The following is an 11,697-nucleotide window of genomic DNA, read 5'->3' on the forward strand; positions in this document are numbered from 1 at the left end:
TTAGAGAATAAGACTCTGGTATGTTTCAAGAATAAAGGAAATGGCAAAGTTAATAGTGAAAGGTTCTCGGTTATTTAAAGTACTGCCATTCCAGAGTAGCTCCTCCAGAGTGAATCAATTTTCTGTCTACTTTTCTTCCTTTCAAAAGTCAAACTGGGGTTAGAATGTTCGAATTCTATATGTTATATTAATTTCTCTTTCAAAAAGATCACTTGAGGCCAGGCACGGTGGCTCGCGCCTGTAATCCCAGCATTTGGGAGGCTGAGGCGGGCAGATCACTTGAGGTCAGGAGTTCTAGACCAGCCTGACCAACATGGTGAGACCCTGTCTCTACTAAAAATACAAAAATTAGCAGATAGTAGTGGTGGGTGCCTGTAATCCCAGCTACTTGGGAGGCTGAGGCAGGAGAATTGCTTGAACCCGGGAGGCAGAGGTTGCAATGAGCCAAGATCACGCCATTGCACTCCAGTCAGCGTGACAAGAGTGAAACCCCTTCTGAAAAAAAAAAGATTGCTTGAGCTCAGGAGTCAAGATCAGCCTAGGCAACAGGTGAAACCCCGTCTCTACAAAAAAATACAAAAATTAGCCAGGAATAGTGGTGCAAGCCTGTGGTCCCAGCTACTCAGGAGGCTGAGAAGGGAGGATCGATCGCTTGAGCCTAAGAGGTCAAGGCTGCAGTGAGCCTTGTGCACAGTGAGATTGAGCCACTGCCTCCAGCCTGGGCAGCATAGCAAGACCTTGTCACAAAAACAAAACAAAACAAAACCCAGAAGAGTGAAGGATCAGAAAAGTACAATGTATTGAGACATGGTCTCCCTCCCATCCCTACCCCAGCCCCACATATTCCATAGGGAGAACTTGCCTCCAGCTATCTCTAGAAGAATAGGAGAATTTTAATACTAAATTGAATAGAAAAACATCTTTTTTCTCACTTTAAAAATACAGTTTATTGGAAAAGAGTAGGTGTTTGGAATCAGTGAACACCAAGTTCCAAATCCTACTCACACTTCCCAGAATACATACCATGGCAATGCCAAAATATGACCATGCTTGTTAATATTTAGGCCAAGGCATTAAATGTTTATAACATAACACAAATACTTGTAATCTAAATTTGAATGAATGTCTTCAATTTTCAGTAAAATAAGACCCTATTAAAGCCCTACCATTAATATATATTCATTCATAAACATACTGAGTACCTAATGAATGTTAAACACTGTAGAATCTCTAAGGAAAGAATACTCGGTCACTTTATAAGCTATGTGGTAGTCAAGAAAAATCCTTTCTACTCATTGATACGTTAAATGATCAAAAAATCCAAAGCTAAAAAATGATCAGAGAACAATGAAAAAATTTTAGTGGCTTTATGCTTCCAATTCCATTTTCTTCTGGCCTCTTTTCTGAAGCTTGCCTAAATCATCCCAGGAATGCTAAAATTGGGTGTTATTTAGGCATAACCAAAATGAAATAACAAAGTAAGTACCCCAAATAAAACTAGGAGAAAAAATCCAGGGAACCAAGCAGGCAGTAAGGATCTAAAGTTCTATACTTGGAACCTCTACCCTGAATGTTAAATAATAGATGTTTTTTAAACAGTTGACTGCCAAGTGTGGTGGCATGTGCCTGTAATCCTAGCTACTTGGGAGGCTGAGGTGGAGAGGCTCATTCTAGACTAGTCTGGACAAATAGCAAGACCCTATTTGTGGGGGAGCGGGGAGAAGGCAACCAAGCTGGGTGTGCCATGTGCCTCTAGTCCCAGCTACTTGGGAAGCTGAGGCAGGAGGAGTGCTTGAAACCATAGGCCACCGTACTCCAGCCTAGGCAACATAGGAAGACCCTATCTCTAAAACAAACAAACATAAACAAAAAGGCTGGGCGTGGTGGCTCACACCTGTAATCCCAGCACTTGAGGAGGCCGATTTGGGAGGATCACTTGAGATCAGGAGTTCGAGACCAGCCTGGCCAACATGATAAAATTTTTGTATTTTTAGTCTCTACTAAAAACAAAAATTAGCTGAGTGTGGTGGCGGGTGCCTGTAATCCCAGCTACTTGGGAGGCTGAGGCATAAGAATCATTTGAACCTGGGAAGCGGAGGTTGCAATGAGCTGAGATCACACCACTGCACTCCAGCCTGGGCAACAGAGCGAGACTCCATCTCAAACAAACAAACAAACAAAAAAACAGTTATACCTTTAATTATTATCTTCATTCAGTAATTAGGCAATTAGAATTTGATTGCTAAATGAATGTTCAAAGTTCAACCAAAATTAGTCCAAGATGAAGCCAAGAACACATCTCAACTCATTCAATAAAGCCATTATTACTCCGATGCCAAAACCAGACACAGATATCACAAGACAACTACAGACCAATATATCTTATGAATACAGATGTAAAAGTCCTCAACAAAGCAAAATGCATCCAGCAACATATAAAAAGGCTTATACACCATTGCTAAGTATGACTTAATCCCAGGGATTCAAGGTTGGTTTAACTTCTGAAAATCAATTAATGTAATACACGGTATTAATAAAGGATACAAACCACATGATCATTTGAATAGATGCAGAAAAAGCACTTAACAAAATCCAACTTGCTTTCATGATAAAAACACTCAACAAAGTAGGAACTGAAGAAAACATCTTCAACCTAATAAAGAATACCTATAGGAGAAAAAAAAGAATACCTACAAAAACCCCATAGCTAAAATCATACTTAATGGAGAAAGCCTGAATGCTTTCTCTCTCAGGTCAAGAACAAAACAAGGATATCCACTCTTACCACTCTGTTTAACACTGCACTGAAGGTTCCGGCCAGGGCAAATAGGCAAGAAAAAGAAATAAAAATCACTCAGGCTTAAAAAAAAAAGAAGTAAAACTACCTTTATTTGCAGATGATATAATCTTGTATATAGAAAATCCAAAGAAAATCCCACAAATAAACTATTAGACCCAATAAACACATCCAACACAGTTACAGGATACAAGCTCAATATACAAGTAGTAATCGTATTTCTATACACAAGCAATAAGCACTCTGAACATGAAAAGTTTCTAAAAATTCCACTTACAATAGTATCCAAAAAAAAAAAAAAAAAACACATAGAAAGCCGGACACGATGGCTCACACCTGTAATCCCAGCACTTTGGGAGGCCAAGGCAGGCGGATCACTTGAGGTCCGGAGTTTGAGACTAGCCTAGCCAACATAGTGAAACCCTGTCTCCACTAAAATACAAAAATTAGCTAGGTGTGGTGGCGGGTGCCTGTAATCCCAGCTACTCAGGAGGTTGAGGCAGCGGAATCACTTGAACCTGGAAGCAGAGGTTGCGGTGAGCCGAGATTGCACCACTGCACTGTAGCCTGGGTGACAGAATGAGACTCTGTCTCAAAACAAAAAAAGAATAATCAGAAATAAATTTAACAAAAGCAGTGACAATCTTATACTCTGAAATATATAAAAATTGCCAAAAGAAGTTAAAGAAATCCTAACTAAACGGAAAGGCCAGGTGTGATGGCTCACACCTGCAATCCTGGCACTTTGGTAGACTGAAGTGGGTGGACTGCTTGAGCCCAGAAGTTCAAGACCAGACTAGGCAACATGGCAAGACCTCGTCTCTACAAAAAATACAAAAATGAGCTAGGTGTGGTGGCATGCACCTGTAGTCCTAGCTGCTTGGGGGGCTGAGGAGGGAAGATCACTTGAACCTACTTAAGGCTGCAGTGAGCTGTGATTGCACTACTGTACTTCACTCCAGCCTGGATGACAGAGCAAAACTGTGTCTCAAAAAAAAAAAAAAAAAAAAGGAAAGACATCCTATGTTCATGGATGAGAATGGATTAGAAGATGTAACACTGTTAAAATGGCAATATTCCCTAAATTGATCTACAGAACCACCAATGGGATCCCAGTATACCCAAAAGAATCTTGAAAAGGAAAAACAAAGCTGGAGGACTCACACTTCCTGATTTGAAAACATAATTCAAAGCTACGGAAATCAAGACAGTGTGGTAGTGGTATAAGGATAAACATGCAGATCAATGGAATATAATTGTGGGTTCAGAAATAAACCCTTACACTGACAGTCAATTGATTTTTTTGACAAGAATGCCAAGAGAATTCAGTGGAGGAAAGAATGGTCTTTTTAAGCCAAGTGCTGTGGCTGACACCTGTAGTCCCAGCACTTTGGGAGGCCGAAGCAAGAGGACTGCTTGAGGCCAGGAGTTCGAGACTAGCCTGGGCAACAAAGCAAGACCCCATCTCTACAAGAAACAAACAATGGTCTTTTCAACAAACCATGCTGGGACAACTGAATATTCACATGCGGTAGAATGAAGTTGGACCACTGTATCTCACACTATACACAAAAATTAATTCTAATTAAATTTAAACATGGATTATAGACCTAAATGTAACAGCTAAAACAATAAAATTCCTAGAAGAAAACAAAAGCTAATCTTCATTTCATTTGGTGGCCTGACATCAAAACCACATGCAACAAAGGAAAAAACAAGTAAATTGGACTTCATCAAAATTATAACATTTTGTATGTTAAAGGACACCATCAAGAAATTGAAAACACAACCCATAGATGGGAGAAAATATTTGCAAATCATGTATCTCACAAGGGATTTGCATCTAGTATATTTAAAGAACTCTTACAACTGAACAATAAAAAGAGAATCCAATTTTAAAATGGGCAAAGGCTGAGCACGGTGGCTCACACCAGAAGGAGAGGATCCCTTGAGGCAAGGATTTTGAGACCTGCCAGAGCAACATAGCAAGACCCTGTCTCTACAAAATAAATTAATAATAATAAAAAAAAACAATTAGCCAGGCATGGTGGCACACACCTGTAGTCCTAGCTACTCATGAGCCTGAGGCAGAAGGAACCTTTGAGTCCAAGAGTTTGAGGTTCCAGAAACCATGATTGGGCCAGGTGCGGTGGCTCACGCCTGTAATCCTAGCACTTTGGGAGGCCAAGGCGGCTGGATCATGAGGTCAGGAGTTCAAGACCAACCTGGCCAAGATGGTGAAACCCCATCTCTACTAAAAATACAAAAATTAGCTGGGCGTGGTGGTGGGTGCCTCTAATCCCAGCTACTTGGGAGGCTGAGGCAGAGGATCACTTGAGCCCAGGAGGCAGAGATTGCAGTGAGCCAAGATAGTGCCACTGAACTCCAGCCTGGGTGACAGAGCAAGACTCCATCTCAAAAAAAAAAAAAAAAAAAAAGAGAAAACTACGATTGGCCACTGCACTCTAGCCAGAGCGACAGAGCAAGACCTAGCCTAAAAAACAATAGGTGTATAAAAATAAAATTAAAATGTGCAGAGAATTTAAATAGACATTTCTCCAAAGAAGATATATGAATGGCCAATAAGCACATGAAAAGATCTCATCAAGTTGAGCACAGGGGATCAGGCCTGTAATCCCAACACTTTGGGAGGCCAAGGTGCAGGGACTGCTTGAGCCCAGGAATTTGAGACCAGCCTGGGCAACATGGCAAAACCCCATCTCTACAAAAAATACAAAAAAGGCCAGGTACAGTGGCTCATGCCTTTAATCCCAGCACTTTGGGAGGCTGAGGCAGGCTGATCACGTGAGGTCAGGAGTTTGAGACCAGCCTGGCCAAAATGCTGAAACCCCATCTCTTCTAAAAATACAAAAATTAGCCGAGGGCCTGTAGAGCCAGCTACTTGGGAGGCTGAGGGAGGAGAATCTCTTGAACCCAGGAGGCAGAGGCTGCAGTGAGCTGAGGTCACGCCACTGCACTCCAGTCTGTGTGACAGAGTGAGACTCCATCTCAATAAATAAATAAATAAATAAATAACCAGCTGGGTGTGGTGGTACACACTTCTAGTCCCAGCTACTTGGGAGGCTGAGGTGAGAGGATCACTTGAGCCCAGTAGGTCTTAGCTGCAGTAAGCTGTGATCGTGCCACTGCACTACAGTCTGGGCTACAGAGCAACACTTTGTCAAAATGAAAAAAAAGAAAAAGGAAAGAAGGAAGGGAGGGAGGGAGGGAGAGGAGGGAAGGAGAGAGCAAAGCGAGGGAGGGAAGGAGGGAGTGAAGGGAGGGAGGGAGGGAGGGAGATATCTTATAATTAGTCATCAGGAAAATTCAATTCAAAACCACAATGATATACCACTTGACATCCACTAGGATGCTATAATCAAAAAATAAAAAAAGATAGACAATTACAAAGTGTTGGCAAGACTGTGGAGAAACCGGCACCTTCACATGCTGCTAGAAATACAAAATCGTCCAGCTGCTTTGGAAAATAGTTTTGGTGGTTACTAAAAAAGTTAGAATTACCATATCACCCAGCACTTCTAGCCTTAGGAATATACCCAAGAGAACTGAAAAGAGGTATCCAAACAAAAACTTACACAAGAATGTTTAGGGCCAGGTGCAGTGGCTCACACCTGTACTCCCAGCACTTCCAGAGGCTAAGGAGAGAGGACTGCTTGAGCCCAGGAGTTCAAGACCAGCCTGGGCAACATAAGGAGGTCACATCTCTACAAAAAAAAAAAAAAAAAAAAAAAATAGCAGGGAACAGTGGATCACACCTGTAATCCCAACACTTTGGGAGGCTGAGGTGGGAGGATTACTTGAGCTCAGGAATTTGAGACCAGCCTGGGCAATATAATAAGACTCAATTTCTACAAAAAAATTTTAAAAGTAGCTGGGCATGGTGGCACATACTTTTAGTCCTAGCTACTTGGGAGGCTGAGGTGGGAGGATCACTTGAGCCCAGGAGGTTGAGGCTGCAGTGAGCCATGATTGCACCACTGCATTCCAGCCTGGGTGACAGAGAAAGACCCTGTCTCAAAAATAAAAATAAAAATAAAAAAAGCAAATGTGCCATACAAAGCGTAGATATGGATGGACTTCTAAATATTTTACTAAGAGCAATAGATCAAAACAGGTGCCCAACCAAAATTTTTATTTTATTTTTTTTAGAGACAGGGTCTCACTGTCACCCAGGCTGCTCGAGGGCAGTGGTGTGATCAGAGCTCACTGTAACCTCAAACTCTTAGGCTCAATCAAGTGATCCTCTTGCCTCAGCCCCCTGAGTAATGAGGACTATAGGCGTGTGCCACCATCCTCAGCTAATTGTTTTTATTTTTTGTAGAGACAGGGGTCTCACTCTGTTGCCCAGGCTGGTCTAGAACTGCTGGCCTGAAGCAATCCTCCTGCCTTGGCCTCCTAAAACTCTGGGATTACAGGTGTGATCCACCATGCCCAGCCTCAACCAAAAATCTTAAATTTCTAACGAGCATGGAAAGGGGGAAGTGGGATGAAAAACTTTCCTCAAAACAGAAGAATAGTGCAAATGAGGAAAAACAATAAAAGACCATAAAGTGGTCAGGGGCACTAAGACCTATGCAGGCAAAACAACAATTAAAACCTTACAAGAGGCCAGATGCGGTAGCTTACGCCTGTAATCCCAGCATTTTGAGAGACCAAGGTGGATGGATCACCTGAGGTCAGGAGTTCGAGACCAGCCTGGCCAATATGGTGAAACCTTGACTCTACTAAAAAGACAAAAATTACCCGGTGTGGTGGCACACGCCTGTAGTCCCAGCTACTCGGGAGGCTGAGGAAAGAGAATCACTTGAACCCGGAGGTGGAGGGTGCTGGGAGCCAAGATCCCACAACTGTACTCCAGCCTGGGCAACAGAGCAAGACTCTCTCTCAAAAAAAAAAAAAGCTTCCAAGAAAATTATGCAAGCCGGGCGCAGTAGCTCACGCCTGTAATCCCAGCACTTTGGGAGGCCGAGGGGAGGCAGATCATTTGAAGTTAGGAGTTCAAGACCAGCCTGGCCAACATGGTGAAATTCTATCTCTACTAAAAAAAAAAAAAAAAAGAACTTACAAAAATTAGCCAGGCGTAGTGGCGCATGCCTGCACTCACAGCTGCTTCGGAGGCTGAGGCAGGAGAATCGCTTGAACCTGGGAGTCAGAGGTTGCAGGGAGTCAAGATTGCACTCCAGCCTGAGCGACAAAAGCAGAACTCCATCTCAAAAAAAAGAAAATGCAAAGCGACCTCAGAGACAGTTTAAATATATAAAAAGCTAGTGCCAAATAAAACTGGGTGGGTCACTTGATAAACAGGATATAAACAGTGGATAAAAAGCAAGACAGCTGGTATATATAATTCTTATTTGCTTCAATATTTACTGGGGAAGATAGAGGGGAAAAAGCTATCTAAATTACTCTTTAAAACATACAAATCACTAATAGTGAATCAAATGCATCATTAAATATACTAAATTCCTCAAACTGACATGTCAGATGTCAGGTAGTCATGAAGACCCAAAATAGTCTCTATGGGTTTTTTGTTTGTTTGCTTTTTGAGACAGTCTCACTCTGTTGCCCAGGCTGGAGTGCAGTGGCACCATCTCGGCTCACTGCAAGCTCTGTTGCCCGGGTTCAAGAGATTCTCCCACCTCAGCCTCCCAAGTAGCTGGGATTACAGGCGTGCGCTACCACATCCGGCTAATTTTTGTATTTTTAGTAGAGATGGAGTTTCACTGTGTTGCCCAGGCTGGTCTCAAACTCCTGACCTCAAGTGATCCGCCCACCTCGGCCTCCCAAAGTGCTGGGATTTCAGGTGTGAGCCACTGCGCCTGGCCCCTTCTCTGTGTTTTAAAGGCATTTAAGTATAAATTATTAAACTGCAGGACAGAACATATTAGCTGACGGTCATATGAGTGACCTTCTCTAAATGCCAGGAGGATAGAATCCACTTTTCCTTTATCAACATTTTCCTTGCTCAACTTCTGGCATATTAGGTACTCAACAAATATGTGCTGAACCAAAATGAACAAAAAAATGCTGTCATCAAAGTAACTCCCATCCACTCAAGTAGGCTGCAACTTCAAACTGCCCAAACTGGCAAATCTCTAATAAAGATGGGCTCAGAAGACATACCAGCATGAATAACCTTCTGAGGAAAAGACAACATGGATTCTAAAAGTGGAAATCACACCACACCAGTTCACCCAAATTCTCTGAGAAAATAAATATGTGAATATAATTTATGTGAGCTTTCACAAAACTCTTGATAAGATTCTAAGTAAAGATTTTTTTTTTTGAGGCTGAGTCTCGCTCTGTCGCCCAGGCTGGAGTGCAGTGGCGCGATCTCGGCTCACTGCAAGCTCCACCTCCCGGGTTCACGCCATTCTCCTGCCTCAGCCTCCCGAGTAGCTGGGACTACAGGCGCCCACCACCACGCCCCGCTAATTTTGTTTTTTTGTATTTTTAGTAGAGACGGGGCTTCACCGTGTTAGCCAGGATGGTCTCAATCTCCTGATCTCGTGATCCACCTGCCTCAGCCTCCCAAAGCACTGGGATTACAGGAGTGAGCCACCACACCCGGCCCTAAAGATTATTTTTTTAAAGACCTGAGTGGCCACAGAATGAGTACATTTACTGTAGACTGGACATAATTGAGACACAGATAATTATGGGTAGATGCTGAGGTACTTCCCCAAATGAAGAAGTATAAACAGAAGATTGATAATTTTTTAGAAATGCTCCTCAGAAACTGCACAGGGTGAGAGGAGAAAGGGTCAAGGGAAGGCAAATACTAATGTTTTTAGGAGCAAAAGAGGAAATAAGTCTGCAGAGGAAACCAAGAGTATGAGCCGGGCTCGGTGACTCACGGCTGTAATCCTAGCACTTTGGGAGGCCAAGGCGGGCAGATCACGTGAGGTCAGGAGTTCGAGACCAGCCTGGCCAACATGATGAAAGCCCGTCTCTACTAAAAATACAAAAATTAGCCACGTGTGGTGGCAGGTGCCTGTAATCCCAGCTACTGGGGAAGCTGAGGCAGGAGAATCGCTTGAACCCAGGAGGCGGAGGTTGCAGTGAGCCGAGATCGCGCCACTGCACTCCAACCTGGACGAAAGAGCAAGACTCCGTCTCAAAAAAAAAGTTTCAAAGATAAAACAAAAATCTTGTTAAGAATACATGAGACGCTAAAGAAATAATCTACTTTAATTCATGCTATCAATTTTCATTTCCTATGTGTAGGTGTTGAGGGTCTAGTACCCATGATAAATGACATACACCTGTTCTGGGCTGACTTTTGTTCCCTAAAAGAGATAGGTAGTACTCCAGGGGGCTGGGCACAGTGGCGCATGCCTGTAATCCCAGCACTTTGGGAGGCCAAGGCCACAGGATCACTTGAGCTCAGGAGTTCAAGATCAGCCCGGGCAACATGGCAAGACCCCGTCTCTACTAAAAATACACAAAAATAGCCAGGTGTGGTAGTGCGCACCTGTAGTCCCAGCTACTCGAGAAGCTGAGGTGGGAGGATTGCTTGAGCCCGGGGATGAGGGGGCTGGAGGTTGCAGTGATCCAAGTGCCACCGCACTCCAGCCTGGATGACAGAGGAAGACCCCGTCTCAAAAAAAAAAAGAAAAAGAAAAAAAAAGGAGATATGTAGTACTCCTAACATTCAGTACCTCAGAATGGGATCTTAGAGACAGGATCTTCAGGCCAGGTGGCTTCCCTTCCTCTCTGCGTCGGTCCGTCCCACCTCGGCTCGGCCTGGCGACCCTAACTCCGCTCCGCGCCCCCGGCCGCGGCCCCGGCCCGCCTCCTGGGCAGCCAGGCCCCCCGGCCACTCGGCCGGCAGCCCGCGGCCCAGGTCTGCAAGTGGGAGCTGGGCTGGGGTCCCCATGCTCCACACACGCGTCTCCTCTCCCCCAGCCCTGCCGCTTCCAGGGCCCTCGGTGACGCCCGCTCCCCGGGCCCCTCGGCCCCCCGCCTCTCAGCCGGGCGCTCCCTCGGGGCCGCCTCCTCTGCCTCACCATCATCCTTGCCCACTCGTGCTCCCACCCCCAGGGGCACCAGAGCCAACGGCTGCTCCCCCAGCCTCGGACCTTCCTGCGCGGCTCAACCAAGCCTAGAAGTGGGGGCGGGGAATCTTCCGCCCTCCTCTGGCGCTCATTGGCCCTTCAGGGGCACATCGTGAGCGCCATTGGCTGACTGATGGTGTCCGTCAGAGCGATGGGGCGGGACAGAAAGGGGAGAGGGAAGCTGGTGCCTTGGCATTTCTGTGTCTGTGTATCTGTCTGTCTCTGTCTCTATCTCGGCCCTTGGAAACGAGAGGCTTTTGGCCGAGAGGACTAGAAGGGGGCCTGAGGTGGGAGGAATAGGAATAGGAATCCCGGCAAAGCGTCACGCCAGTCGGCTACTCTGAACCCCCTACCTAAGTCCCCTTTAGGTTCTCTTCTCCATCACCCCCAACCCCTGCCCCTCACCCCTCGAGGTTCCTTCATCCAGGAAGCGACGTGATGAAAACTCCAGGCCGGAAAGCCATAGGGAGAGATGTTATATAGGTATATAAAATACACACACACACACACACACACACACACACACACACACACACACACACACAAAGTATTAGCTGTGAGTTGTTAATAGATGCTCTTCATTTAGGTTGAGGAAGTTTCTTTCTGTTCCTAATTTGTTGAGTATACATCTTTTATTTTATTCATTTAAAATGTTATTTCAAGAAGAAATTTGGGCCGGGCACGGTGGCTCACACCTGTAATCCCAGCACTTTGGGAGGCCAAGGCAGGTGGATCACCTAAGGTTAGGAGTTTGAGACCAGCCTGACCAACATGGTGAAACCCCGTCTCTTCTAAAAATACAAAAACTAGCAGGGTGTGGTG

The 11,697-nt window shown here is 44.7% G+C and overlaps 1 long non-coding RNA gene across 43 annotated transcripts in view, besides 2 other annotated features; it reads right to left on the minus strand.

The window, feature by feature from the left end:
- LOC101927060 (uncharacterized) overlaps positions 1 to 10,930 on the minus strand; it is a 117,500-nt gene extending 106,570 nt beyond the window's left edge. For all 43 annotated transcript variants that reach the window (XR_007065805.1, XR_243711.6, XR_007065812.1 and 40 more), the window contains exon 1: positions 10,480 to 10,930. This is a non-coding gene — a long non-coding RNA (uncharacterized LOC101927060). The remainder of the gene's footprint in view (positions 1 to 10,479) is intronic.
- Positions 8,732 to 9,357: an enhancer, noted in NCBI's record as "H3K4me1 hESC enhancer chr17:45175453-45176078 (GRCh37/hg19 assembly coordinates)". NCBI's record gives its function as "activates a minimal SCP1, AML or CMV promoter by ChIP-STARR-seq in naive H9 embryonic stem cells {active_cell/tissue: H9 hESC(naive)}" and the evidence as "EXISTENCE:reporter gene assay evidence [ECO:0000049][PMID:30033119]".
- Positions 10,652 to 10,931: a silencer, noted in NCBI's record as "silent region_8621". NCBI's record gives its function as "represses an Ori minimal core promoter by ATAC-STARR-seq in GM12878 lymphoblastoid cells {active_cell/tissue: GM12878}" and the evidence as "EXISTENCE:reporter gene assay evidence [ECO:0000049][PMID:35858748]".

Source organism: Homo sapiens, chromosome 17, assembly GCF_000001405.40.
Source record: "Homo sapiens chromosome 17, GRCh38.p14 Primary Assembly".
Classification (NCBI taxonomy): Eukaryota; Metazoa; Chordata; class Mammalia; order Primates; family Hominidae; genus Homo; species Homo sapiens.